This window comes from Homo sapiens, chromosome 16, assembly GCF_000001405.40.
Source record: "Homo sapiens chromosome 16, GRCh38.p14 Primary Assembly".
Taxonomy (NCBI): Eukaryota; Metazoa; Chordata; class Mammalia; order Primates; family Hominidae; genus Homo; species Homo sapiens.
This window is the reverse complement of record NC_000016.10, coordinates 31104500-31131411: the sequence shown is the minus strand read 5'-3', so window position 1 is coordinate 31131411 and position 26912 is coordinate 31104500. Positions and strand designations below refer to the sequence as shown.

The following is a 26912-nucleotide window of genomic DNA, read 5'->3' as shown; positions in this document are numbered from 1 at the left end:
GAAATGAAGAACATCCGCTCTTGGCCTCCCCTTCCCCTCCAAAGTCCAGGGCCACCAGAACTGACTTTATTAAAAAAATGACAAAACAGGTCTATACATATTTACAGGCTGGGAGCCAGGAGGCTCAGGTCCGACAGCAGGGGCCAGGCTGCTCACTTCTTGGAGAGCTTGACTTGCTTGTGCTTGGGGGGTGCCCACTTGAGGCAGACGGAGTCCACTGTGGGGAGAAGGGGCGGGAGGCAGGGCTGGGCCTGGGCCAGGCCAGCTCACACCTGGCTGCCCTCCTCTGGGCTCAGGCCAGTTTCACCTCCTCCAGGTGAGAACAAAAGGGCAGGCTGTGCTGGGGAGGGGTAGGGAAGCCCAGGAATGAGAGGCCTGCCCCGGGCTCCATCCTGGGAGCTGGTCTGACTGGTTTGGGATCATGTGACAGCAATAAGGAGGCCTTGACTCCTACCAGTCCATATACTGACACTCCCCCACCGCCCCCGACACACAGCAGCCCCCCACCCACCTGTGATGGGTGGTTTCTTATACTGGGCACTTTTGAGGTGCTCCTCCACCAGCTTGGGTGTGACACAGATCACGTGCTGGCCCTTCCAGTACTTGACCATATTGAGGGATTGCAGGGTACTGATGATGTCATTTTGGGTGATACTGGTCATCTGGCTGCAAAAAGGGATGAGAGCAAATGCCAGACCTGGTGCCCTTGTGGGATCTGGCCAGGATGGTGACAGGGTATGAGGAAGCAGGATCGTGGCCCATCTCAGGGCAAGTCCTGCCCCCAGGGCCCGGGAGGCCCCCTCACCTGAGGTCCTTGATGGACAGTGTGCCCCGGAAGTCCCGCAGGATCTCTAGCAGCACCCAGGACCAGTAGCTGCGGTAGCTGAGCTTGCCCAGGTCAGACAGTGGCTTCTCCGGGGAGCCGACTGTGCTCTCCAGCTTGGAGAGCTCATAACCTGGCAGCAGTAGAAAGAGGAACTTAGGATCCAGCCTGCCCTGGCACCCCTGCCCCACAGGTCTCCCCCTCCCAGACAGGCCAGGAACCACTCACTGAAAGCGATGAGGAACTTCCCGTAGCCGCGGCGTTGGTAGGGGGGCAAGGTCAGGATGCAGGCCACATTGTTTCCATCCGGGGACTCCTTCTCCTGCAGGAGGCAGGTGCTCAGGGCCGCTGGGGAGGCTCTGCCCCACTCTCTGTTCATGCCCACCTTCGCCCTCCCCACCCTCCCCACCCCGAGTTTCCAGACCCAGCACCTTGGAGAAGTAGCCAACAATGTGGGCCCCCTGCCGGTCCACCTCAGTCAGGATGTAAAAGACGAACGGCTCCACGTCAAAGTACAGTGTCTTATGGTCCAGGAAAAGCTTGGCCAGCAGACACAGGTTCTGACAGTAAATCTAGGGTTGAGGAGGGGGGAGACAGGCTCAGGGGGCAGGCACAGGCCCCACCCAGCTGGTTCCAGCGGCCGGCACCAGCCCACGCGAAGTGGGCGCCTCGCCAGGCCAGAAGGATTTCACACTGGAAGGAGTCTTCGGTCAGCCTCTGACGAACAGGGAACTGGAAATGAGAGAGCAACAGCACTTCGGAGGTGCCAGTGGAGCTGGATGAAGCCCGGCCACCCCTTCTGAGTGCCAAATACGAGCTGGGTGCCTTCCATGCAGGATCTGCTTCAGTCTTCACAGACATTAACTCTGTTTCAGCTCGTGAAACTGAGGCTCCGAGGCAGGAATTTAGACCGTCCTGTTCATGGCTGTGTCCCCAGCGCCTAGCACGAGTCTAAGTATGAAGCTGGGTGCCTGGTAAACGTCTGCTGAATGGAGGAACCTCGAGCCCTGTCTGTCCACTTGGCTGCACTCCAGGAGGGGGACAATGGGACCGAGTTTGGCTTCACGGCACACACTAAGGGGCTCCCTGGTTTATGACACCACAGCCACTCTCTCATCCAACCCGGCAGCTGTGCGAGCCCAGCACTGCCAGGCCCATCTTACTCAGGAGGAAGCTGAAGCTCCCAGAGTGGAAGTGCTTGCCCAGAGCCTCAAAGCTGGCAGAGCGCAGTTGGAAAGCACCCCCACATCTCCAGCGGGGGCCCTTCTGCTATTCCACACAGCCATGCTCAGGAAGGCAGAGCAGGGGCAAGGGCTGGGCTCAGCCTGCGTATTCTCCGAGTCCAAGGCTAATCAAGCCCCAAGAGGTCACCGATAATAACAAGGCCCGTGTTTATTAAGCACATACTAGTGCTAAGCACTGCACTAAACACTTGACATTTGCTGTCTCATTTATTCCACTAACAACACAACTAGGTAAATATTAAATATTATGACTCCCGTCTTATGGACAAGGAAACAGGAACAAACCATGTTAAGTAACTTGTCTGTGGTCAGTGAGGAAGTGACAAGGCAACATGAGCCACCCTGAAGCCTGCCCTCTCTGTCCTGTGCTGTATGGCCCATCTGCGGGAAACCAGTACACTTGGCCAGACCCTCCCAGACTGATAAGGCAAAGGCCAAGTTCTCTACAACAGCTAGGCAGGTCCCAAAGGCCCCAACCTGCCCTGCTGAAGTCATTCGGGGCCAGGAACAAGGAACTCAAACCTTGAAAGCCACAGAGCTCTCTCAGGAGGAAATTTCACACAAAGCAGTCCCCTCCCAGGCAAAAACAAACACCTTTCTTTCCAACGGAAGGAGAGAGCACTTCTAAAAGCAGCCTCAGGCAAGAAAATCTCCTCTGGGTTCCAGAACAACCCAAGTTTGAACCTAACCCCACCAGCAGAAGAGTCTTGGGGCCACCACAAGGCCCTGTGTTTCCTATGCACCAACTACAGGCCTAGTGCCAGGCTAGGAGGCCCTCAGAGGCCTTCTTTTTTTTTTTTGAGACAGATTCTCAATCTGACGACCAGGCTGGAGTACAGTGGCACAATCTCAGCTCACTGCAACCTCTGCCTCCCAGGTTCAAGCAATTCTTGTGCCTCAGCCTCCCGAGTAGCTGGGATTACAGGTGCGCACCACCACGCCAGCTAATTTTTTGTATTTTTAGTCGAGGAGTTTCGTCATGTTACCCAGGCTGCTCTCAAACTCCTGAGCTCAGGCAATCTGCCCACCTCAGCCTCCAAAAGTGCTAGGATTACAGGTGTGAGCTGCAGTGCCCGGCCCCTCAGAGGCATTCTGCCCATAGAGGCTCAGCTAAGGCTGCCCCCTCCCCTTTGGTGGTGATGAGGATCATCTGGGAGGTGCCCAGGGCCTCCCCGGCCTCTCCCAACCCCTGGCCACCCACTCACCTTATGGTCTTTGCCATCAACTTCGTACACGGAGATGTTGCTCTTGCGGTAGATCTCTTTCCCGGGGGGCTGCCGCCACTGGCACTGACCCTGGTCGGGGACAAGAGAACAGGTTCGCTGCCCATATGTTCTCTGCTAGGAGGCACCCAACCCACCACTGCATGCTTTGGAGCAAGTCTCTGCCTCTCTGTTTCCCCCCTCAACACTTCACCTACATCGAGTAATCCTCCCAGCAGCCTTAGGAAAGTGATCCTGCTTTTACAGACCAAGGCCCAGGCACAGAGATCCAAACATCACACAGCACGGTGGGGTTTTGAGTCTCTGTGGGCCTGGCTCTGGAGGGACCCGTCCATGACAATGGCTTCCCTAAACCACACCTATTCGCTTCAGATTCCACACTTCGGGAAGCAGCCCACTGTGTCAGTGATGAGAGCGCCCCTTCCTGACAGCCCCCAATTTCATCCACACTTAAGGTCCCACTGCCAGGGGCTATGTGTGCTTCCTGGGATGGAGCTGGCCTTGGCAAAAGACCTGAAGGGGGTGAGTTACTGTCCCCATTCCAGAGAAGAGGAGCTGAGGTCTGAAGTTGGCAAGGTCACCCTGCCAGCAACAGCAAAGCCAGGCCTGGAATCCAGGCCTCCTGACCCCCAGCAGCTCTTCCCTGTACTCGCTCCTTTGGGCCTGTCTCCTCCCTGGAGCTGCCGGCGCAGCCGCCCTCAGTCTCCATGCCTGCCTCTGCCTCTCACCGGGCCCCTGCCCAGCTCGGCCCGGCCGGCCCAGCCTCACCAAGTGGAAGCGGTAGCTCTTCTCATATTTCATGTACTTGAGGCAGTACTCGCAGAGCCAGAGCTTGGGCTGTTTCCCATAGTCTTCGGGGAATGGTGAGAAATACCAGGCATCAATTTCGTAGTTCCCGATGTGGATCTTGTCCACATACTTCACCTTGGTGATCTGCAGGCAGGGTGGGAGTGAGGCACAGTGCACGGCTCAGCAGGGGCTCCTCGGCAAGGGGAGACGGGGGACCTGCAGGCAGCTTCCCAGCCCCACTTACCGCCTCATGCTCCTTCTCCAAGGCTGCTGTGGTGGGGTCCATCTCTGCATAAGTCTGGGCCAGGAAAGAAAAGTGGGCAGAGGTGAACAGAAGTGGTGACCAGGCTGTCCCTCCCGTCAGGACCCACAAGGCTTCCCTGCCGTCTACCAGACCTCATTCCTGGATGGCAATAATAACCACACCAATAGCTAACCTATCTGACTTGGTTCTGAAGCTGGCTGGTCCAGACTCCTCTCACACCCACCCGCCCCACCCCCGATATCCCAGACATCCCTGATGTCCAAGTTTGGACCTTTTGCCAGATGAACAGGGTTAGGATCAGGATGGGGCTTCAGCTGCACGATGGGGGGCAATCCAGCTCTGCCAAAGTTGTGAGACTCAAATGAAATAACAGATTTGCCTTCCAGGCCCAGCGTAAGAACTGTTACTACCTCCCCGATGTTCCTGGACCCCTTTCCTGAGGACCAGACCCTGCCTGCCCATGCGACTGCCCCAGAGGTCCCTCCCACAGGGACAGCGGACTCAAGATGTGCAGAAAGGACCTCATCACTCCTCCCTGCAAACCTGCGCCTCCTCCTGGGTTGCTCATTTTACTGGGAACATCACCCTTGGTCCCAGTGTCCAAGACCCATAACTAGGCTTGCCTCAGACTACTCTCTCTCCCTCGGCCTGGCCAAGTCCTAATACAGTGGATGTCGAGTCTACTTCTGACATCTCTGGAATTGGGCCCTCTCTGGAATTCTCCTCTCTGTCCTGCTCCAGGTAGTCATGGCCCCATCTCAGGTCTGGACAATTTACTAGGCCGCCTCAGACTCCCTGCCTCCAGCCCCAGCCTCCTCATTGCTATCAGCAGCCCCCTTTTAGCGGCCTTCATGCTTCTGCACAAACAGCTCCTTCTACCTGGAGAATGCCCTTCCTTCTCTCACTGCCAGCAGAAAACACTTCCTCAGCCTGGCACGGAGCATGAGTCAGGTGAGTCCATGATGCTTTGTGATCTATCCTTTGTCACTGTTGTTATTGTGCTCTTTCCCATCCTTCAAGGCTTGAGATTCTTACCACCCCCTCCAGGAGGCCTGACTGGATTCTTCCCATCCAGAAAACATTCCCTCCTTCCCAAGTTCAGCGAGAAGTGGTCAACAGGGCAACACTGTCCAAGTATGCCCACCTGGGTTCCTCTATTTTTCAAGTCCTTAGAAAGCAGAGACTAAGAGTCACACCACACTCACAACACATCCTGCTCCTAGGCCAGACCCTGTGGGAGGAACCCAGTACAGCCTGACAATGGAAGGGGGACCCAAGACGGTCCATGACCTACACCAGGGCAGACAAGGCCCTGCCCTGTAGCTGAGAAGGGAGGAAGGAGCCAGTGCTTTACCCAGAACCCCCTCCACAAAGCACTGTGCCTATATGTTTATATGGCCTCATTTAATCCTTTCAGTAACCCTTACATAGAGTGTTATTTCTTTTTTTTTTTTTTTTTTTTTTGAGACGGAGTCTCACTCTGTTGCTCAGGCTGGAGTACAGTGGCACCATCTCGGCTCACTGCAACCTCCGCCTCCCAGGTTCAAGCAATTCTCCTGCCTCAGCCTCCCAAGTAGCTGGGACTACAGGCACATGCCGCCACATCCAGGTAATTTTTGTATGTTTAGTAGCAATGGAGTTTCGCCATGTTGGCCAGGCTGTTCTCAAACTCCTGACCTCAGGTGATCAACCAGCCTCGCACTCCCAAAGTGCTGAGATTACAGGCGTGAGCCACTGCACCCAGCTGCGTTATTTCAATTTTACAGAGTAGTAAACAGGCAGGGCAAGGTGAGGTCCCTTACCCTCGGGGACTAGTGAGCTGCCATTTATTCCAAGTGGCAAGCACGGCACAGACATGTTTTTTTTTTTTTCTTCTGAGATAGACTCTCACTCTGTCGCCCAGGCTGGAGTGCAGTGGGGAGATCTCAGCTCACCACAACCTCTGCCTTCTGGGCTTAAGTGATTCTCCTACGTCAGCCTCCCAAGTGGCTGAGACTACATGTGCCTGCTACCATTCCCAGCTAATTTATTTTGTTTTTTGAGATGAAATTTTGCTCTTGTTGCCCAGGCTGGAGCAATGGTGCAATCTTGGCTCACTACAACCTCCACCTCCTGAGTTCAAGCGATCTTCCCACCTCAGTGTCCCAAGCAGCTGGGATTACAGGCGCCCACCAGCAAGCCCGGCTAATTTTTTGTATTTTTGGTAGAGATGGGGTTTCACCATGTTGGCCAGGCTGGTCTTGAACTTCTGACCTTCAGATGATCCACCCACCTTGGCCTCTCAAAGTGCTGGGATTACAGGCATGAGCCATAGCCTTTTTTTTTTTTTTTTTTTTGAAATGGAGCCTCGCCCTGTCGCCCAGGCTGGAGTGCAATGGCAAAATCTCACGTCACTGCAACCTCGCCTCCTGGGTTCAAGCGATTCTCCTGCCCCAGCCTCCCAAGTAGCTGGGATTACAGGTGTGCACCATCACACCCAGCTAATTTTTTGTATCTTTAGTAAAGACAGGGTTTCACCATGTTGGCCATGCTGGCCTCCAACTCCTGACCTCGTGGTCTGCCTGCGCCTGGCCTCTTTTTGTATTTTTAGTAGAGACGGGCTTTCACCATATTGGCCAGGCTGATCTCGAACTCCTGACCTCAAATGATCCAATCATCTCAGCTTCCCAGAGTGCTGGGATTACAGGCATGAGCCACTGCACCCAGCCGACATTATTTCATTTTGTTCCTCACAATGAGCCTTTGAAATAAGAGTGCTCATTGTCCCTGTTGTATGAGAGAAAACTGAGGCACAAAGAGGTGAGGTCACTTGCCCAAGGTCACAGAACTGGTACTCAGCAGAGTTGGGCATGGGCCCCTGGTCTGTCCAATTCTGAACCTAACCACTGTAAAGATGAGGAAGAAAGATTTTCCTCCTCACACATCTCTTTAAAACACATTTCCCAATTCTCACAAAATACAGTACTCTTCTGCAAATGCAATAAAGAACTACAAAAACACTACTTTTCTTAATTGTTGCAATTTATTTAGAATTAAACATTAATTAGGCTCTGAAGAACCTTGCTGATTGTTAACTGGATGATTGTTTCATTACCTATTCTTTGATTTTATCACCACTGGCCCGTTATCCACCCTGCTGGTTGCCAACTCAGAGGTATGTCTTTGTTGAGTGCAAAACAGTTGAGGAATTAATCTTAGATCTACACTGTCCAATAAAGTAGCCACTTGTCACATAGGGCTATTTAAAATTATACTCAGCTAAACGTGGTGGCTCACGCCTGTAATCCCAGCACTTTGAGAGGCCGAGGTGGGAGGACCACTTGAGGCCAGGAGTTCCAGACCAGTCTGGCCAACATGGCGAAACCCCATCTCTACTAAAAATAAAAAATAAAAAATAGCTGGGTGTGGTGGCACACGCCTGTAATCTCAGATACTTGGGAGGCTGAGGCACAAAAATTGCTTAAGCCAGGAAGGCGGAGGTTGCAGTAACCCAAGAGCTCGCCACTGTACTCCCGCCTAGGTGACAGAGTGAGACTCTGTCTCAAAAAATGAAAATTTTGGCTGGGCACGGTGGCTCACACCTGTAATCCCAGCACTTTGGGAGGCCGAGGCAGGCGGATCAGTTGAGGTCAGGAGTTTGAGGCCAAACATAGTGAAACCCTATCTCTACTAAAAATACAAAAATTAGCCAGGCATGATGGTGCGTGCCTGTAGTCCCAGCTACTTGGGAGGCTGCGGCAGGAAACTCACTTGAATCTGGGAGGCGGAGGTTGCAGTGAGCTGAGATCGCACCACTGCACTCCAGCCTGGTTAACAGAGTGAGACTCTGTCTCGAAAAAATAAAAATAAAATTTTTTTAAAAAATGATAATTAATTTTTTTTTGAGACAGTCTTGATCGGACACCCAGGCTGGATGGAGTGCAGTGGCATGATCTTGGCTGACTGCAACCTCCATCTCCTGGGCTCAAGCGATTCTCCTGCCTCAGCCTCCTAAGTAGCCGGGATTACAGGTGTGCACCACCACGCCCGGCTAATTTTTGTATTTTTAGTAGAGATGGGGTTTTGGCCATGTTGGCCAGGCTGGTCTCAATCCCCTGACCTTAAGTGATCCACCCACCTCCGCCTCCCAAAGTGTTGGGATTACAGGCGTGAGCCACTGCACCCATAATTTAAAAATTTTTTTTTTTTTGAGACGGAGTCTCACTCTGTCACCCAGGCTGGAGTGAGCCCAGGATCTCGGCTCACTACAAGCTCCACCTCCCGGGTTCACGCCATTCTCCTACCTCAGCCTCCCGAGTAGCTGGGACTACAGGTGCACGCCACCACGCCCGGCTAATTATTTTGTATTTTTCAGTAGAGATGGGGTTTCACCATGTTAGCCGGGATGGTCTCGATCTTCTGACCTGGTGATCCACCCACCTTGGCCTCCCAAAGTGCTGGGATTACAGGCGTAAGCCACCGCGCCCAGCTAAAATTCTTAATTCTTCGTCACACTAGACACATTTCAAGTGCTCAACAGCTACATGTGGCTAGTGGCTACGGTACTAGATAGTACAGCTATAGAACATTTCCATTACAATAGGAAGTTCGATTCGGCAGTTTAGACCTTGAGGAGTTCTTCCAGTTTAGGGTATTTCAATTTTTTAAATCACACCACAGTAGGAAGTACACTTGGCACTGTAACATGTCTGTATATACACACAAGTATGTGCTAGGATCATCGGGAAGGTAAGGCTGGAACAAGAGGAATCCTGCACACTTTTATTGGGTGTGAAATAAAAGCTTCTCAAAACAATACCTACACTTAATAAAGTGCAACACCCTGATTTTTCTATCTTATCCACTTTCTTTCTTCCATTTAAAGAAATTTAAATGTTGGGCTTGCCCACTAACTCATGTACTCAGAAGGATGAAGCTGCAATAGCTGAAAGTAACAAATGTCTGGGTGTCTGGAGACTTTGACAAATCTTGCTCTGGTGTGCACTCCTGATTTTTATAAATTTAGAAACTGAGACTTGGTCGGGCGCAGTGGCTCACACCTGTAATCCCAGCACTTTGGGAGGCTAAGGCAGGAGGATCGCTTGAGACCAGGAGTTTGAGACTAGTGTGGGCAACATAGCAGATCCCGTCTCTACAAAAAAATAAAAAATTAGCTGGGCATGGTGGCACGTGCCTATGGTCCCAGCTACTCAGGAGGCTGAGGCAGGAGGATTGCTTGAGCCCAGGAGGTTGAGGCTGAAGTGAGCCATGATTGTGCCACTGCACTCAGCCTAGACGATAGAGTAAGACGCTGTCTCAAAAAAAAAAAATAACAATAATATGTACAATTATTAAGTATCAATACAAGAAAAAACCAAGGCAGGTACAGGGATGCACTCCTGTAGTCCCAGCTACTTAGAAGGCTAAGGCAGGAAGAACATTTGAGCCCAGGAGTTCAAGTCCAGCCTGAGCAACACACCAAGACTCCCGTCTCTTAAGAAAAAAACCAAAATCATTGCTAAGGCCTCTGGCTCTGAGGTAGCACAATTTAGCTGGTTGATCAAATTCCTGTCTGGGTCCCTAAACTTATCTGTAGCTCTTCTGCATGCTTACTTCACAGGCCTACTGTGAAATGTCAGTGAGGTCATGTATTAAAACACTTAGCTTAGGCCGGGCGCAGTAGCTCACGCCTGTAATCCCAGCACTTTGGGAGGCCGAGGTGGGCAGATCACCTGAGGTCAGGAGTTCGAGACCAGCCTGACCAATATGGCGAAACCTCGTCTCTACTAAAAATACAAAAATTATCCGGGCGTGGTGGCAGGTACCTGTAGTCCTAGCTACTTGGGAGGCTGAGACAGGAAAATTGCTTGAACCCAGGTGGCGGAGTTTACAGTGAGCCGAGATCATTCCACTGTACTCCAACCTGGGCGACAGAGCAAGACTCCGTCTCAAAAAAAAAAACAAAAAACAAAACACACACACACACACACACACACACACACAAAAACCATTTAGCTGAATACTTCTGCTCACCGGCTAACAAGTGTTTGGCATTATTATTCTAATTCCAGCCCACCGTTTTACTGGCTGTGTGACCTTGGGCATGTTACTTAATCTCTCTCAGCCTGCTTCCTCACCTACCAAAAAAGTAACTATTCCTGTGTGTTGAATTGTTGGGAAGGATTTGAGGAGCTTATACATATACAGCACTTGGCAGGGTGCTTGGCTATAGCAACTGCCGAATAACATTCTCGTCTTTCCCACTGAACTTCAAGTCATTTTTTCTACTAAGACACAGCTACTAGGAGACAAAAGAGGCTACCAGTGCCGGAGGCCTGAGTTCTAGTCCCAGCTGTGCCATTTCCTTGCTGTGAGACTGCAGCGAAGCCCTTACCCTCTGTCTGTTTTCTTACCTATGAAAAGTAAGTAAGAGGAAGTAGGTAAAGTCCCTGACACACTACAGGAGCTTAAGAAATGGGATTTGCTATGGTTTTGGCACTGGGGCCCGAGAGACCCAAGGGAACTGGCAGAGAAGCTGGGCCTCCTGGGCCCGTGGATGGGAAGGGATCCGGACCTTCTGCACATGGTTGATCTCATCATGCTTGCGCTTTTGGTTGCGAGTGATCTTGCGCTCAGGCTGCTCTGCGAGCTCGCTCAGGTACTTCTCTGAGTTCTTCTGTACAGCATCCTTCACTGTCTTGGTCAGCGCCAGCCGGTTCTTGTCTACCCACTCGTCCAGCCGCCGGTTAACTGTAAGTATGGGCCATAAGAGTGCTGCCAGGGCAGCCAACTCCCTGCACCCACGCCCAGATGTGCCAAGCCACTCACAGCCCACGTAGTGTACATAGAATTCCTCTCGGCCCTCCTGGTCGTTCACTCGAGACTGGATCACTTCAGCAGAATCTGTGATGGAAAAAGGCTAGGGTCATCAGGAAGGTAAGGCTGGAACAAAAGGAATCCTGCACACTGAGAAGCAGTTTCCAGAGTTCAGGGCCACACATCAGCTAACCTCACTGGTCCACCTCTGCCATTCTACTCAATCACTGCCACAACTGTGAGGTGGATCAGGTTGAGGCTGTTATTCTCATTTTACGAATGAGAAAATAACTGGCTGGGTGTGTGGCTCACACCTGTAATCCCAGTACTTCTGGAGGCCGAGATGGGCAGATCACTTGAGGCCAGGAGTTTGAGACCAGCCTGGTCAACATGGCAAAACCCCATCTGTACCAAAAAGACGAAAAAAAAAAAAGCCAGGCATGGTGGCACACACCTGTAATCCCAACTACTCGGGAGGCTGAGGCAGGAAAATTGCTTGAACCTGGGAGGCAAGGCTGAGGCAGGAGAATTGCTTGAACCCGGGAGGCAGAGGTTGCAGTGAGCCGAGATTGTACCACTGCACTGTGGCCTGGGTGACAAGAGCAAGACTCTGTCTCAAAAAAAAGAACCCCAAAAAACAGAACAAAACTGAGGCTTACCTAGGGTCACAGATTTGAAAAGTGGTAAGAGCTAATACTTAACTGAATTTAAGTCTGACTCTAAATTCAATGCTCATTTTACCACATACCCGCAGTTGTTCATTTGTTCAGGGATCATGAGTGCTGGCTCTGGATTAAGATAACCTACATTAATGTATAATTCCAGGGCTGGGCATCGTGGCTCACGCCTGTAATCCCAGCACTTTGGGAGGCCGAGGTGGGTGAATCACGAGGTTAAGAGGTCAAAACCATCCTGGCCAACATGGTGAAACTTCGTCTCTACTAAAAATACAAAAATTAGCTGGGTGTGGTGGCGCACAACTGTAGTCCCAGCTACTCAGGAGGTTGAGGCAGGAGAATCGCTTGAATCCGGGAGGCAGAGATCGCAGTGAGCCAAGATGGCGCCACTGCACTCCAGCCTGGCAACAGAGAGCGATTCCATCTCAAACAAACAAACAAAAAAAAATACACAAAATTCCAGCTCCCTACTTCCTAGCTATGTGTAACTGAGCAAGTTATTCCATCTTTCTGAGCCTCAGTCTCTTCATCTGTGAAAAGGGATAACAGCTGGGCACAGTGGCTCATGCCAGTAATCCCAACACTCTGAGAGGGTGAGGTGGGAGGATCACTTGAGCCTAGAAGGTCTAGGCTTCAGTGAGCTGTCATCGTGCCACGGCAATCCCACCTGGGTGACAGAGCGAGATCCTGTCTCAAAAAAAAAAAAAAAAAAAAAGACAAAAGGGATAATAGTACCAACCTTAGAAGGTGAATTAATGCCTCCAAAATTTTTAGCAGCGCACCTGACAATTAGCAGAGCATTCAATAAATGAGTAAGGCAACCACTACGTGTCTGGCCCTATGCTGTGTTGTTGCCGGGTACAGAGGACACAGTGATGAATCACAAGAAGTGCTGCCCTCCAGAAGTTCCCAGTATGATGGAGGAAGACAGAGAGAGAAAATTACAACATAATGTTACAAAAACTATGACTGAGGTAGGAAAAAAATGTTGCAGGAACATAGAGAAGGGAACCACTCACTTTGCCTGAAGGGGAATCAAGGATGACATCACAAAGGATATGAAGCTAAGAGGATGAGTAGGAGCTAGGCAGGCAAACAAGGAGAAAGGGAAGAAAAAGCATTCCAAGCAAAGGGCACAGGTGGTAAAGGGCGTGTGGTCTTCAGAGGGCACAGTGTGTTCTGGCCTGGCAATGCCCTTTCCTAGTGTTGGCTAGAAACTGGAGAGGTCACAAAAATGAATGCCACCCTAAGGAGTTTGGGGTTAATTTTGAAAATGAGAGAAGGCAGCAGAACTTTAGGAAAGGGAAGCCTGTTGTTTCTGGAAGGTCTTCTCTCTGCGGATGGCTGCCAGGGACAAATGGAAAAAGAAGACGCAGAGACAAGAGAGGGTGAGGAAGCAGCGTTAGCAAGAAAAAGGAATGAAGCCTAAGACTGGGCAAGGAAGTGGAATGGGAACAATCCTGGTGAAGGCCTGAGCGGTGGGTTTGTAGGCGTCGCTCGGCATAATTCAAGGTCAACAGCCTCCCACAACCCGGCTGGTTTCTCAGCGCCCGGAACGCGGCGTTCTTTCCTCAAGCCCCGCCCCTCCTCCTCTCCACTCCCAGCCCCCGGATCTTGGCCTCACTGACAGCCTGTCCTCAGGCCCCGCCCCACCCCCTGGCCCTGAGCTCCGCCCCGCCCCCAGCCCTGGGCCCCGCCCTCACGCCAGGTGCTATCCGGTCGCCGGCACAGGTACGTTTCTCCGATCTCCACCGTGACTTCCGGCTCGCCGCGCGCCGGGGTCGGCGGAGAGACGCGGCCCGGGGATGGGGCGGTCCCCTCAGCGGCCGCATTCTCCCCGGGCCCGGGCTCGCCCTCCCCCGCGACCCCTGAAGTCCCCGCCGCAACCGCCGCAGCAGCTCCCTGTGCCGCCATCGCGGGAAGGGAAGTGACGCCAGAATCGGACGCCACGCAGTTCTTTTGGCTCCGGGTCAGCAGTGCGTGGGGCGGGCTCCTCAAGGTTTGAGGGCGGGGTCTGTGATGTAGCAGGAGCCGATTGGCTTCTGTGGCCGTCCCCGCGGCCCCGCGAGTTGGATGTTGAGTGTGCGGCAGTCTTGGAGCTCCTGGTTTTCCGTGCGGACCTGTGGCTGCAGCCTATGGGTGAGGAGAGGAGACAGACTTACCTCATGCGATGACTCAACTCAACCTTTTTTTAATTTATTTATTTATTTATTTATTTATTTATTTTGAGACGGAATCATGCTCTGTCGCCCAGGCTGGAGTGCAGAGGCGCGATCTCGGCTCACTGCAACCTCCGCCTCCGGGTTCAAGCGATTCCTCTGCCTCAGCCTCCCGGGTAGCTGGGACTGCAGGCGCGCGCCACCACGCCCATCTAATTTTTGTATTTTTAGTAGAGACGGGGTTTCACCATGTTGTCCAGGATAGTCTTGATCTCTTGACCTCGTGATCTGCCAGCCTCAACCTCCCAAAGTGCTGGGATTATAGGCGTGAGCCACCGTGCCCGGCCAGCTGAACCTTTTTAAAGGCCCTGGTACCTGCGGAAGCCAAGATGTGCCAATTTTCAGCGGGCGCTGCCCCCACTTTAACAGGGCAGAGCCAGAGCGGCCGCCCTGGTGGCCTGGAGCCGCACACTCGCGCTGGCCTAATGTCGCTCCCCGCCCCCCCCCCTTTTTTTTTTTTGAGATGGAGTCTCGCTCTGTCGCCCAGGCTGGAGTGCAGTGACGCGATCTCGGCTCACTGCAGCCTCCGCCTCCCGGGTTCAAGCGATTCTCCTGCCTCAGCCTCCTGAATAGCTGGGATTACAATCGCGCGCCACCACGCCCGGCTATTTTTTGTATTTTTAGTAGAGAGAGGGCTTCACCCTGTTGGCCAGGCTGGTCTCGAACTCCTGACCTCAGGTGATCCGCCCGCCTCGGCCTCCCAAAGTGCTAGGGTTACAGGCGTGAGCCACCGTGCCCAGCCAGTGCCCCATTTTTGAAGGTTGAAGAGACTACTTCCCCTATTTGGGATACAGTTGGTGCGGGGAAAGCAGAACGGGTGTGTCCAGGGACAGGCCATAATTCACCCTCACAGGATAAAGTCTAAAGAAAGGACGAGTTGGGCGGGGCGTGGTGGCTCACGCCTGTAATCTCAGCACTTTGAGAGGCCGAGGCGGGCGGAGATCGAGACCATCCTGGCTAACACCGTGAAACTCCGTCTCTACTAAAAATACAAAATTTAGCCGGGCGTGGTGGCACGCACCTGTAGTCCCAGCTACTCGGGAGGCTGAGGCAGGAGAATCGCTTGAACCCGGGAGGCGGAGGTTGCAGTGAGCCGAGATCCCGCCATTGCACTCCAGCCTGGGGACCAAGAGCCAGACTCCATCTCAAAAAAAATAAAAAGGCCGGGTGCGGTGGTTCACGCCTGTAATCCCAGCACTTTGGGAGGCCTAGGCGGGTGGATCACGAGGTCAGAAGATCGAGACTATTCTGGCTAACACGATGAAACTCCGTCTCTACTAAAAAAAAATACAAAACAATTAGCCGGGCGTGGTGGCGGGCCCCTGTAGTCCCAGCTACTCGGGAGGCTGAGGCAGGAGAATGGTGTGAACCCGGGAGGTGGAGCTTGCAGTGAGCTGAGATCACGCCACTGCACTGAGGGTTCTGTGAGAGTCAGTAAAGGTTAAAGCCATTTATATGTGTATGGTCCAACCATACACAATCGGCCCTCCATATCCGCATGTCCCACCTTTGGAGATTGAACGAAGAGCGGGTTGAAAATACAGTGTTGAGGTATGGTGGCTCACACCTGTAATCTCGCACTTCAGGAATCCAAGCAGGAGGATCGCTTCAGGCCAGGAGTTCAAGACCAGCCTGGGCAGCATAGAGACCTCCTTTCTACTAAAAATTTGGGGGAAAAAAAAAATTAGCTGGGCCTCGGGGCCCGCACCTGTAGTCCCACCTACTCAGGAGGCTGAGGCAGAGGGATCGCTTAAACCCAGGAGGTCGAGGCTGAGTGAGCTATAATCCCTCCACTGCACTCCAGCTTGGGTGACAGAGACCCTGTCTCAAAAAAAAAGGGGGGAAAGAAAAGGAGGCTGGGCGCAGTGGCTCACTCCTGTAATCCCACCACTTTGGGAGGCCGAGGCAGGCAGATCACCTGAGGTCGGGAGTTCGAGACCAGCCTGACCAACATGGAGAAACCCCATCTCTACTAAAAATACAAAATTAGCCAGGCGTGGTGGCCGCATGCCTGTAATCCCAGCTACTCGGGAGGCTGAGGCAGGAGAACCGCTTGAACCTGGGAGGCAGAGGTTGTGGTGAGCTGAGATTGTGCCATTGCACTCCAGCCTGGGCAACAAGAGTGAAACTCTGCCTCAAAAAAAAAAAAAAAAAGACTGGGCGCGGTGGCTCACACCTGTAATCCCAGCACTTTGGGAGGCCGAAGCAGGTGGATTACTTGAGGTCAGGAGTTCAAAACCAGCTTGGCCCACATTGTGAAACCCCGTCTCTACTGAAAATACAAAACAGTCAGGGGTGGTGGCGTGTGCCTGTAATCCCAGCTACTTGGGAGGCTGAGGCAGGAGAACTGCTTGAACCCAGGAGGTGGAGGTTGCAGTGAGCCGAGATCGCGCCACTGCACTCCAACCTGGCCGACACAACAAGACTCCATCTCAAAAAAGAAAAAGAAAAAAGAGGGAGGAAGGGAGGAAAAGAAAAGGAAAGGAAAGGAAATATTGTAAGGATGCAGAACCCACAGATCTGAAGAGCTGACTTCATATCTGCTGTTTGGCAGGGCCAACTGTAGGACTTGAGCGCCTGCAGATTTCGGTATTCACAGGCGGTCCTGGAACCAATCCCCAGCAGTTAAGCATGTATAACTATCAATCATATAACTATGTAACGGTTGAACTATCCGTCTTAGCAATATACAAGTGTATTGCAAAGTGCCAGACCGGGTAGGTACTCAGTAAACATTCCCTTTGGCTATTCTCTGAATCTTGTTTGATTTATAATGTGGTTATTGGGCTTGGAAACAATTCTGAGAGGAGTGGAATGCTCAGGGCCTGCGGATGGGTCTCTCAGAGGTTACAAATCAAGAAACATCCGACAGGCATGGTGGCTCATGCCTGTAATCCTGGCACTTTGGGAGGCTGAGGTGGATGGATCACGAGGTTGGGAGTTCGAGACCAGCCTGGCCAACGTGGTGAAACCCCATCTCTACTAAAAATAGAAAAATTAGCTGGGTGTGGTGGCACGCGCCTGTAATCCCAGCTACTCGGGAGGCTGAGGCAGGAGAATCGCTTGAACCTGGGGTTGGGGGGGGGTGGGGCGGAGGTTGCAGTGAGCGAAGATCCAGCCACTGCACTCCAGCCTGAGCAACAGATTGAGACTCCGTTTAAAAAAACAAAACGAAACAAAACAAACAAAAAAACAATGTAGGTGCTCCACCCAGATCCTCTGGGAGTTCTTGCTGTTTCTGTGTGCCCAGATTACCTTTGATGTGCTTTCAAAGACCCACACCAGCACCTGAGGCTCTTCTTAAAAAACCATCCTTAGGTTAATAGAGCTGTTCACTTTCCCAACTGACTTTAACCAGTGACTGCCAAGTGGAGAAATTAATCAGTAACTCTGAGGTTTAGCTCTCTTACCTTCAACCCTGAGGCATAATTGACTGGTTCTGGGCTTTTGCCTGAGGTCACATCCTTGCTTGGCTTCCTCCCCTTCCCCTTCCTACTTCCCCTACTCTGTTCTGGGAGCACTTTCTTAAGAAATCACGTGGACATGAATCCTCTCAGGGACTCCAACCAGAAACATCCCTTCCCAGCTCAAAACCCACTCATGGGCCAGCTGCAGTGGCTCATGCCTGTAACCCCACCACTTTGGGAGGCTGGGGTGGAAGGATCATTTGAGCCCAGAAGTTCAAGTCCAGCCCGGGGCAACATAGGGCTTTGTAGAAACCCTGTTTCTACAAAAAATTTTAAAATTTAGCCTGGCATGATGGTCCAAGCTACTCAGAAGGCTGAGGTGGGAGAATCTCTTGATCCCAGGAGTTCAAGGCTGCAGTGAACTCTGCAGCCACCATATTCCAGCCTGGGCAACAGAGCAAGACCCCATTTCTAAATAAATAAAAACTCACCCATGGATCCCTATGGCTCAAGATAAATCCCATGTTTCAGGGCCCTGGCCTCTGACTGCTGCCTGCCTCTCCAGCCTCAGCACCCTGCCTTGCAGCTGGCGGGATTTTTCAGTCTAGCAAGTCACTGTGGTTTCCTAGCCCCTGCCATTTGGCTTCCACATACAACTTCCCCTCCATCCCCGTGAAGGGTAGGAGATGGTACAGGCCTAGAGCCAGCCTCAGGAAGTTTGCTGTGGGAGCTCACATGTGAAGGCAAGAGAACTTTCCAGTTCTCCTCCCAGCCCCACCAGGCCGCCCTTAGGCCTTTCTTCCCTGGCAAGGTGGGTAGGGTGTTCCTACCTAAGATGTCATCTGGAGTTCTGATTCAGGTCTAACCTTGAGCCTACCTGATATCTTTGCCCAAATCCTTGGTCCTTTCTATCAGGGCCCCACCTTTCCTTGCAGTGGGGCACCCAGTCCCTGCTAGGGCCTGCCAAGGCACAACCTTGTATGTTCTTTTCCTTGGCAGCAGCAGACACAGTATTTTTAACCTACTCAGGCTTGGGAAGCAGTTGGCTCAGGAGTTTGCCCAGTCTGGTGACCTTCACCTCTAGAAACTGTGACTGCCAGGAAAGGAAGAGTCAAAACTGATGCCCGAAGCTGGGTCAGTCTGGGCCTTCAATATTATCTGGGACCCGGAAACATTTGTTCAACAAGATGAATGAAAGCTCTTTGTATAAGGTGCTGCAGTCATCCCACTCCCACCAAATCAAACATGCAACAGACTTGGGACCCATTCTACTCCTGGCCTGCCAGGCTCTCAGGGCAGGTAAGAGACTGGGACACGAACCAGTTCAACCCAAGGGCTCAGTGAACCTGAATGGGGGCAGAAACAAAAGTTCACCTGCCCTCCCCACACACGGGGCCCGAGAGGGCATTCAAAATGTGAACTTTAATAACAGGTCAGAGTGGGGGTTCCCCAGGAACGAGAATGACGGAACTGGTGCTGGAGGCCTCAGGGTGCCCACTTCCCTGCTCCAAGTTCTGGAGGCGAGGAGGCAATGGACCCTGTTGAGGCAGGGCAGTGCCCAGCTCCATGTAAGTCCATCTGTCTGGGTCCCTGAGACCCAAGATGCAGCAGTGTGTGGAGCAGGGGGCCGCCCTGCCTGACCCGGGAGGTCCTGCAGGGAATGCGGCCCAGGCTGGTCGGGTGAGCAGGCCAAAGGCTGTGGGGTCAGATCCGGAAGCTTTCCTCCCGGCCATCGATGTGGCGGAGCCGCAGGTAGACGTCCGTGCCAATGCCCTGCAGGGACTGCAGCTGCAGAGACCCACCGAGGTACTCCGCGTAGGCCCGTGACGTGGGCAACCCGAAGCCAAAGCTGGGGGTGGGCAGGGGGACAGGACAGGAGGCTTCAGAGGCTTGAGTCTCCTGGGGTCCCCCACCCCTCCATCCTGGCCTGGCAGGGTCTCACCCGTGCATGGGTCCTGACTGGGCGCCACTATGCATGTCCAGATGGCCAAAGAGGGGGCTGATCCGGGGGTCCTGTGTGCTGGCCTCAGCAGTAGTGAAGTGGTAGTCCATGACCCGGTCCAGATCTTTGTGAGCGATTCCTCCACCACGGTCTGAGATCCTAGCAAGATGGCAACAACAATGGGCTTGGCTCAGCTTTGATGGGGTACTCACCACCCCCCAAGCAGACAGTGCAAAGTCTGCCTTCCTGTTCCTTCCACCCAGAGCTGGAATGTGGTCCACCTAGACCCTTGGGCCTTGTTTATATCATCCTCACCCCTGCCAGGGCCACTGACTGCTTATACCTTCTCACAGGATGTGACATTTATCCTCGGCCCAGCATCCTAGACCGACTCCTGACTATTTCTCAATTTCAAGCTCCTCAGCTGCTGACAGAGGCAGGATACCTAGGCCTGCAGCTGGCCCCAGATCCATTAATAAGCAGCTCATGGCCATCTCAGGATTCAGAGAATAGTTTGTCTGGTCAGGGACCAAGTCCCAGAATGGGGCAGGAAGGGGCTCAAGGTCCTAAATCAAGTCAGAAACAGTGCCTAGACCCCCATCCCATCCACCTCAGCTCAACTCCCACTCAGGGCAAACCTGATGATCAGATCGACATCATTGTTGGCGATGGTGATGACCACATCTGGGACATTGTAGGGAGTGTCTAGGTGACTCTCCATTGTGGCTCTATGCAGAGGGGAAAGACCAGTAGGTACAAGCACCCCGGTTCCTGTCCGCCCCCAAGCCAGCACATCAAGCCACCCCACCTCATGGCATTCTTGAGCAGCTCCGGCAGGATGTAGTCCAGTGGCATAGGGATGAAGGGGAACCGGGCAGCCACATGGCCATTGATGCGGACACGGGGCGCATTGCCATACTTGTGCTCACACAGGCGTCTGCGGATAGGAGCGAGGGTTCAGTCAGGGGCCCCTCCACCAGTGGTTTGCAACTGGAAACAATTCTGCCCCCCTAAGTAACATATGGCAATGTGCAGAGACATTTTTGTTTGTCACAACTAGGCAGTACTGCTGGCGCCAGGGATGCTGCTGAACTTCCTAACGTGCACGGGGCAGCCCCTGTGACAAAGAATTATCTGGCTGGAAATGTCAATAGTGCCATGGTTGAGAAACCCTGCTCCCCGCAGATCATGCCCCGGGCAAGGGCTCAGACCCAAGCCTTCCCTGCCCCAGATGTCTGCCCACCCCCTGAGCCATTCTTGCCTCACCTGGCAAAGTCCACCCACTTCTCAATAATCTTCTTTGGTGAGAGACGAGTACAGATGATGCCGACAAAGTCAGGCTGGCCGGAGAAAGGAGGTCAGGACTACCCACGCCCCTAGCCCCACCCCAAGATGCTGGCAACTTCGGAACTGCCCCAAAGCACCAGCCCCACAGCCTCAGCCCCCAGGCCCTTGACCCGGATCCCCAGCCCAGTCTCCTCTGTCTCACTTAATGTTCCCAGGTGGGTCTCAGGTCCCAGAGCCCCACCTTGTCCTCATGCAGCGCCAGGTGATGCGTGGCCAACATGCGGATTCCAAGCCTCGAAGTCAGCGTCTTGTCCAAGAAGTAGCGGACGAGCTTTTCATCCTGTAAAGAGTGAGGTCTCAGAATCCCGTGCCCTTCCCACCCCCAGCAGGCCCGGCCTCTCCTTTGCTGCCCCAACCTCTATGTGCTTCCGGCTCTCACGTAGGCCCTCTGCCAAGAGGGTCACCACATCCTTGTGGTCATCCAGCAGCTGTCGCACCAGCTGGCAGTACTGGGCCTCGTCCGCCTGGTCCTTGATCTGCAGGTCACAGAGTCATGAGGAAGGGTGGTCCAAGCCCAACCTCTCAGCCCCTCACCCTGCTCTGGCCCAGCACTCACCGGAGGGAAGTCTGTCAGCTTCTGGAAGGCACGGATATATAGCTCATGCTGCAAGGAAGAGGTGTGGGAATTCACAAAGCCGCATGGGCACTGAGCAGAGAACAGCCACCCCCACCTACCCATGGGGATCACCACCCAGCTGGTCGACCACGTGATCAAACCCCCACTTCGACCCTTCCAGGCTCCGTGAATACACACCTTTGGCTTCTGAAGGCCTGGGGTTGAATCCTGTGTGGCCCTGACACCTTTAGGCAAGCAATCGTCTGCCACTCTGGGCCCCAGACTCCCCACTTGCCCCCGGGGCAGGGTGGCCCGCTGACCTAAGGTCCTCTCTACCTTACCACGTGCAGTATGGTGGGGTTGCAGCCAATGATGAAAGGAAGGCAGCGGAAGCCCTTGATGCGGTGAGCAATCCTCACTGGAAGTTCTTGCTGCAGGTACCGAGCACTTTTCTGGGAGAAAATGAGAAGGGAAGGCGGGGCTGGAGCCTGAGTGTCTGGGAGAGCTCCAGGATCCACGAGGAAAATAGAGGGCGTGAATCTTACCAGAAGGTGGCTGCCGTCCTGAGAGCGGCCAGCGTAGAGCATCATGGTGGGCGTTAGGCGGACTGAGGGCTAGAGAGGGAGAGAGGCCTTGAGCAGAGAACCCCCAACACTCTCCCTCCCGCCTACATCCCGGACCCTGGGCTGGCTGCCCCCTTGCGCACCTTCTCCGCTGCCGCGTCGATGGCCGACTGGTTGTAAAAGGAGGTGACGGTCTTGGAGCGCTCCCGAGCCATCTCCACGTGGTGTGTGTCGGTGGCCGACGTCGAGCGGGCCCGGAGCGCGAGTGCGGGTCCCAGGAGGGGCCGGAGCGGAAGCCCGCCCCCGGGACCGCTCCTCAGCACCGACGCCAGGATCATCGTCTTGCTCCTTTCAGACCCGGTGGCCGCTAGGACTGAGGATCCGCTAGGACTGAGGACCCAGGCGACCCAAAATGGGGCAAGGGGGTGTGGGTGGGTAGGGGCTCTTCTCCGACTTCAGGGACCAGGGTGCGTCGAGGATGCTGACAGGCTCAGCCCGCGGAGAGCAGCTCCCATCTACCGGGGCGGGGAAGAGGAAGTTGTAAGGATCCGAATCCACAGAACCCGCACCATCTCTCCACCTGTGCATCGGTCTCCCCAGACCCGGGCGACCTCTCCCCACCACTCCCACCGTCTCCCCAGATGCACACAGGCCGCGCCCAAAGGACCTAGCCTCCCGGGGGCTTCTATTCCCCAACCCGAGGCTCTACTGGCGGTGGGAGGGCTGTCGGGGGAGGAGCCCCTCAGACCCTTCCAGCCCGAAAACCTCGCCCCAGCGCCCCGGGGTCCCGGGTACCCTTCTCAGGGGGCGGGGCTGCCCCTGCCTGCCCAGCGCCTTCAAACCCGGGCCCTGGGAGCGCGGCCAGCGAACGTGCGACACCAGCCCTGGGCCCCTGGGGCCGGCTTGGGAGGGTGCGGCACGGAGTCCCCAGCGGGACCCCCCACGCGGGTCACTTGGTTCGGCCCGGATGCCCCCCATATGGTAGATGCCAGCCCCGTCTGCGCGCCCGCGCTGTGATGGAGGCTGCGGACGTGCGCCGCGGGGCCTCCGCGGACTGAGTAGGCTGGGGTCGCCCCACTTACCGCGGGGCCGGAGCCAGGGCCCGGGTCCCAGCGGAAGGGCTCGAACAGTCCACTCGCCAGGCGCCCAGCCGCCTGCGCCCTCCGCCGCCGTGACGTCGCGTGGGCGGCAGCGCCCGCTGGGTCCTGGGAGTTGTAGTTTGGTCTGAGGACGTGCCGTCCCGGGCGCCCGCGCATCCAGGCCACGCCCTTGCTCCCGGACCCCAAACAGCACCGCTTCCTCCACACGGCTCTCGAGGCTCTCCGTGTCCCTCCCAGCCTCTATCTCCTGCTCTATGAAACGGGCTCCCTGGGAGCTGGAAGATCTTAGATGTAAAGCGCACAGATCACGCCCTACCTGACTCCTTCTCGGAGCTCTTGTCCTCCTTCCAGTTCTTGGTTCATTTATGGGTAACCAGGCTTCAAACCCCAGCTCGACCCCTTAATATCTGGAGCAAGTTATTTAACTGCTCAGTGCTTGGTAAGATGAAGAGATATCATCAGTTTTGGGGTTGTGTGGATTACATGAATTTATATGAGTGCCTAGAACAGTGCCAGGCGTGGAATTAGCACTATATAAGGGTTAGGCATTATTATTATTCACTCATGCCTGCAGATAATGCAAGTCGCTGACTGGGTGTCTTTTCTGCACCAGGAGAGGAGATTGGGCAGTGAGTTGAATAGATCTTTCCGTGCCCTGCATAAGAAAACAGTTTCAGTATCATTGGCTGTGATGAGGACTTTCAGAGGAGGCTGCGGGAGCCTCAGATAGAAACTGAGACAGCTGTGTAGGTGCAGCCTGAGTAGGACTTGCAAGGGAGCGGGGTGGGAAGGGTGTGTGGCAGGACAGACAACAGCCCAGATGGTCTGAGGATATGGCTGGAGCCATATGGGATCTGGGAAGGAGAGGGGCGGCAGCAGAGAGCGAAGGATAAGTCTGCATTTGTCCTAGGGTAGTTAGGAACTACTGAAGGGTTTTAACTGGTGGGCTCTCCTCCTTAGACAGAACCCCTTGTCTGCAGTGATTTAGAGTGGGGCGTTTGGTGAGACCAAAGGCAGAGAAACCAATAAGAAGACAATTACTTTAGGCCAGGCGCAGTGGCTCAGGCCTGTAATCCCAGCACTTTGAGAGGACGAGGTGGGCGGATCTCAGGAGTTCCAGACCAGCCTGGCCAACTTGGCAAAACCCCGTCTCTACTAAAAATACAAAAATCAGCCGGGTGTTGTGGCTGGCGCCTGTAATCCCAGCTACTCGCGAGGCTGAGGCAGGAGAATCGCTCGAACCCGGGAGGAGGAGGTTGCAGTGAGCCGATATCCCGCCACTGCTCTCCATCCTGGGCAACAAGAGCAAAACTCCGTTGCAAAAAAAAAAAAAATTATCCAGGCAGGAGGCGCTGGAAGGGACACGTTTCAGTGTGTGCACGTGCATATGTGTGTAGTGTGTATTTGTACTAATTGCAATTTTCTTTACCATGGTTATATATTTCCTAAATATGTTCAATAAAAAGTGCTAAGTGAAGCAAGTGACATCTTTGGAGGCTATCTTTATTTATTTATTTGGAGATGGGGTCTCGCTCTGTTGCTCAAGCTGTAATACAGTCGCTCCATAGTAGCTCACTGCAGCCTCCGACTTAAATGATCCTCCCACCTCAGCCTCTCAAGTAGCCGAGACTGTAAGTGTGCACCACTACCCCCAGGGTGATTTTTTCCCCCTCAGGCAATCCTTTTGCCACAGCCTCCCAAAGTGCTGGGATTACAGACGTAACCCACCGTGCCTGGCCTATTTTTCTTAGAGCCGGGGTCTCGCTATGTTGCCCAGGCTGGTCTCAAATTCCTGGCCTCAGCCTCCTGAGTTGTTGGGGTTACAGGAGTGAGCCACTGGGCCTGGCGGCTGTCTTTAAACTTGGAGGTTAGCCAGGTGCAGTGGCTCATGCTTGTAATCCCAGCACTTTGGGAGGCCAAGGCGGGCAGATGACCTGAGGTCAGGAGTTCGAGACCAGCCTGGCCAATATGGTGAAACTCTGTCTTTACTAAAAATACAAAAATTAGCCGGATGTGGTGGCATGCACCTGTAATCCCTGCTACTCGGGAGGCTGAGGCAGAAGAATCGCTTGAACCCGGGAGGCGGAGGTTGCAGTGAGCCAAGATCGTGCCAATGCACTCCAGCCTGGGCGACAGAGAGAGGCTCCGTCTCAAAAATAAATAAATAAATAATAAATAATAAACTTGAAGGTGAAAAAAATAAATAATAAATAATAATAAATATAAACTTGGAGGGAGGACGCCTCACCGTGACTGGCCTGCCTGAGCAATTGGGGGCAGACCACGGGAAAGGGGCGCCCTGCATCTCTGGGTTTCCTCTTTGACCCCCACCCACACCATTCCCACCCGTTCTTTCCCAACGTCCTGGAGTACAGCCAGGCGGCGGCAGCCCCAAGGCAGCCACGGCTGGAGCCCGTGGTAAAAGGGAGCGGGAAGGGTGCTCCTGGCGGGGAGGACAGGCTGCGCAAAGCAGCAAAGGACTGGCAGTGGTCTGTGCGCCAGAATCTGGCGCTCACGTGGCCGCGGCGTGGACAGGAGCCGCAGGCGGAGGAGGCTGCGGCTGCCACCGAGGTGGAGAGGTCTGGCACAGGCCTCACCCCATTTGACCCCGCTCGCTAGGCCCCGGCTCGGCCTGGACTCGCTGCTGCCCCCGGCGGCGGAGGTTGGACATGCACCTCGCGACCCCCTTTTCAGAATACTGTATACAGGTCAGGCGGCTTTCTTTTTTTTTTTTTTTATTTTTTTATTTTTTTTTTTTTATTTTTATTTTTTATTGATCATTCTTGGGTGTTTCTCGCAGAGGGGGATTTGGCAGGGTCATAGGACAATAGTGGAGGGAAGGTCAGCAGATAAACAAGTGAACAAAGGTCTCTGGTTTTCCTAGGCAGAGGACCCTGCGGCCTTCCGCAGTGTTTGTGTCCCTGGGTACTTAAGATTAGGGAGTGGTGATGACTCTTAACGAGCATGCTGCCTTCAAGCAGGGCAGAGGGGCTCCTCACTTCCCAGTAGGGGCGGCCGGGCAGAGGCGCCCCTCACCTCCCGGACGGGGCGGCTGGCCAGGCGGGGGGCTGATCCCCCCACCTCCCTCCCGGACGGGGCGGCTGGTCGGGCGGGGGGCTGACCCCCCCCACTTCCCTCCCGGACGGGGCGGCTGGCCGGGCGGGGGGCTGACCCCCCCACCTCCCTCCCGGACGGGGCGGCTGGCCGGGCAGAGGGGCTCCTCACTTCCCAGTAGGGGCGGCCGGGCAGAGGCGCCCCTCACCTCCCGGACGGGGCGGCTGGCCAGGCGGGGGGCTGATCCCCCCACCTCCCTCCCGGACTGGGCGGCTGGCCGGGCGGGGGGCTGATCCCCCCACCTCCCTCCCGGACTGGGCGGCTGGCCGGGCGGGGGGCTGACCCCCCCACCTCCCTCCCGGACGGGGCGGCTGGCTGGGCAGAGGGGTCCTCACTTCCCAGTAGGGGCGGCGGGGCAGAGGCGCCCCTCACCTCCCGGACGGGGCGGCCGGCCGGGCGGGGGGCTGACCCCCCCACCTCCCTCCCGGACGGGGCGGCTGGCCGGGCAGAGGGGCTCCTCACTTCCCAGTAGGGGCGGCCGGGCAGAGGCACCCCTCACCTCCCGGACGGGGCGGCTGGCCGGGCGGGGGGCTGACCCCCACCACCTCCCTCCCGGACGGGGCGGCTGGCCGGGCAGGGGGCTGACCCCCCCTCCCCCCTCCCGGACGGGGCGGCTGGCCGGGCAGAGGGGCTCCTCACTTCCCAGTAGGGGCGGCCGGGCAGAGGCGCCCCTCACCTCCCGGACTGGGCGGCTGGCCGGGCGGGGGGCTGACCCCCCCACCTCCCTCCTGGACGGGGCGACTGGCCAGGCAGAGGGGCTCCTCACTTCCCAGTAGGGGCGGCCGGGCAGAGGAGCCCCTCACCTCCCGGATGGGGCGGCTGGCCGGGCGGGGGGCTGACCCCCCCCA

At 54.8% G+C, this 26912-nt stretch overlaps 2 protein-coding genes across 9 annotated transcripts, besides 10 other annotated features; both read right to left on the bottom strand.

The window, feature by feature from the left end:
• Window positions 1-18: 18 nt before the first annotated feature.
• Window positions 19-13748, bottom strand: KAT8 (lysine acetyltransferase 8). Of its 5 annotated transcripts, none has more exons than XM_011545971.2 (12): window positions 12836-13353; window positions 12556-12713; window positions 11152-11226; window positions 10898-11073; window positions 4324-4377; window positions 4059-4223; window positions 3273-3362; window positions 1255-1395; window positions 1052-1145; window positions 806-956; window positions 512-666; window positions 53-217 (listed from the first exon to the last, which is right to left on the bottom strand). In XM_011545971.2, the coding sequence occupies exons 5-12, from the start codon at window positions 4363-4365 to the stop codon at window positions 153-155; spliced, it is 903 nt and encodes a 300-aa protein (XP_011544273.1). In that variant the 5' UTR covers window positions 4366-4377; window positions 10898-11073; window positions 11152-11226; window positions 12556-12713; window positions 12836-13353; the 3' UTR covers window positions 53-152. The 5 variants fall into 5 exon arrangements, with proteins under 5 accessions (NP_892003.2, XP_011544273.1, XP_011544272.1 ...); XM_011545970.2 differs by having other exon boundaries at window positions 12556-12708; NM_032188.3 differs by lacking the exons at window positions 12556-12713; window positions 12836-13353 and adding an exon at window positions 13520-13748.
• Window positions 413-1360: an enhancer, noted in NCBI's record as "H3K27ac-H3K4me1 hESC enhancer chr16:31141373-31142320 (GRCh37/hg19 assembly coordinates)". NCBI's record gives its function as "activates a minimal SCP1, AML or CMV promoter by ChIP-STARR-seq in primed H9 embryonic stem cells {active_cell/tissue: H9 hESC(primed)}" and the evidence as "EXISTENCE:reporter gene assay evidence [ECO:0000049][PMID:30033119]".
• Window positions 1361-2308: an enhancer, noted in NCBI's record as "H3K27ac-H3K4me1 hESC enhancer chr16:31140425-31141372 (GRCh37/hg19 assembly coordinates)". NCBI's record gives its function as "activates a minimal SCP1, AML or CMV promoter by ChIP-STARR-seq in primed H9 embryonic stem cells {active_cell/tissue: H9 hESC(primed)}" and the evidence as "EXISTENCE:reporter gene assay evidence [ECO:0000049][PMID:30033119]".
• Window positions 13165-13284: an enhancer, noted in NCBI's record as "active region_10749". NCBI's record gives its function as "activates an Ori minimal core promoter by ATAC-STARR-seq in GM12878 lymphoblastoid cells {active_cell/tissue: GM12878}" and the evidence as "EXISTENCE:reporter gene assay evidence [ECO:0000049][PMID:35858748]".
• Window positions 13455-13804: a silencer, noted in NCBI's record as "silent region_7410". NCBI's record gives its function as "represses an Ori minimal core promoter by ATAC-STARR-seq in GM12878 lymphoblastoid cells {active_cell/tissue: GM12878}" and the evidence as "EXISTENCE:reporter gene assay evidence [ECO:0000049][PMID:35858748]".
• Window positions 13455-13930: a biological region, named in NCBI's record as "ReSE screen-validated silencer GRCh37_chr16:31128803-31129029".
• Window positions 13704-13930: a silencer, noted in NCBI's record as "fragment chr16:31128803-31129029 (GRCh37/hg19 assembly coordinates)". NCBI's record gives its function as "represses an EF-1alpha promoter that drives an FKBP-Casp9 reporter gene in an ReSE screen in K562 erythroleukemia cells {active_cell/tissue: K562}" and the evidence as "EXISTENCE:reporter gene assay evidence [ECO:0000049][PMID:32094911]".
• Window positions 13772-23026, bottom strand: BCKDK (branched chain keto acid dehydrogenase kinase). 4 transcript variants are annotated; one of them, XM_017022859.2, is made up of 12 exons: window positions 22933-23026; window positions 21994-22365; window positions 21833-21901; window positions 21629-21739; window positions 21288-21335; window positions 21088-21207; window positions 20913-21011; window positions 20651-20724; window positions 20193-20321; window positions 20023-20112; window positions 19385-19543; window positions 13772-13949 (listed from the first exon to the last, which is right to left on the bottom strand). In XM_017022859.2, the coding sequence occupies exons 2-12, from the start codon at window positions 22186-22188 to the stop codon at window positions 13811-13813; spliced, it is 1233 nt and encodes a 410-aa protein (XP_016878348.1). In that variant the 5' UTR covers window positions 22189-22365; window positions 22933-23026; the 3' UTR covers window positions 13772-13810. The 4 variants fall into 4 exon arrangements, with proteins under 4 accessions (XP_016878348.1, NP_001116429.1, NP_001258855.1 ...); NM_005881.4 differs by lacking the exon at window positions 13772-13949 and adding an exon at window positions 18621-19291; NM_001122957.4 differs by lacking the exon at window positions 13772-13949 and having other exon boundaries at window positions 18574-19543.
• Window positions 21516-22408: an enhancer, noted in NCBI's record as "H3K27ac-H3K4me1 hESC enhancer chr16:31120325-31121217 (GRCh37/hg19 assembly coordinates)". NCBI's record gives its function as "activates a minimal SCP1, AML or CMV promoter by ChIP-STARR-seq in naive H9 embryonic stem cells {active_cell/tissue: H9 hESC(naive)}" and the evidence as "EXISTENCE:reporter gene assay evidence [ECO:0000049][PMID:30033119]".
• Window positions 22409-23302: an enhancer, noted in NCBI's record as "H3K27ac-H3K4me1 hESC enhancer chr16:31119431-31120324 (GRCh37/hg19 assembly coordinates)". NCBI's record gives its function as "activates a minimal SCP1, AML or CMV promoter by ChIP-STARR-seq in primed H9 embryonic stem cells {active_cell/tissue: H9 hESC(primed)}" and the evidence as "EXISTENCE:reporter gene assay evidence [ECO:0000049][PMID:30033119]".
• Window positions 22634-23173: a silencer, noted in NCBI's record as "silent region_7409". NCBI's record gives its function as "represses an Ori minimal core promoter by ATAC-STARR-seq in GM12878 lymphoblastoid cells {active_cell/tissue: GM12878}" and the evidence as "EXISTENCE:reporter gene assay evidence [ECO:0000049][PMID:35858748]".
• Window positions 24910-25726: an enhancer, noted in NCBI's record as "NANOG-H3K27ac-H3K4me1 hESC enhancer chr16:31117007-31117823 (GRCh37/hg19 assembly coordinates)". NCBI's record gives its function as "activates a minimal SCP1, AML or CMV promoter by ChIP-STARR-seq in naive H9 embryonic stem cells {active_cell/tissue: H9 hESC(naive)}" and the evidence as "EXISTENCE:reporter gene assay evidence [ECO:0000049][PMID:30033119]".

What these genes read in the sequence shown, in the direction of transcription:
- KAT8 (NM_182958.4), bottom strand. Translation starts at nt 13,730, where the DNA reads ATGGCGGCACAGGGAGCTGCTGCGGCGGTTGCGGCGGGGACTTCAGGG. An exon ending in AGATCAACCATGTGCAGAAG is followed by an intron (nt 4,378 to 10,897) that starts GTCCGGATCCCT and finishes TTCCTGGCCCAG; the next exon opens with ACTTATGCAGAGATGGACCC. An exon ending in TTGTTGGCTACTTCTCCAAG is followed by an intron (nt 1,146 to 1,254) that starts GTGCTGGGTCTG and finishes TGCCTCCTGCAG; the next exon opens with GAGAAGGAGTCCCCGGATGG.
- BCKDK (NM_005881.4), bottom strand. Translation starts at nt 22,188, where the DNA reads ATGATCCTGGCGTCGGTGCTGAGGAGCGGTCCCGGGGGCGGGCTTCCG. An exon ending in TCGACGCGGCAGCGGAGAAG is followed by an intron (nt 21,902 to 21,993) that starts GTGCGCAAGGGG and finishes CTCCCTCTCTAG; the next exon opens with CCCTCAGTCCGCCTAACGCC. An exon ending in CTGCTCAAGAATGCCATGAG is followed by an intron (nt 20,113 to 20,192) that starts GTGGGGTGGCTT and finishes CCCTCTGCATAG; the next exon opens with AGCCACAATGGAGAGTCACC.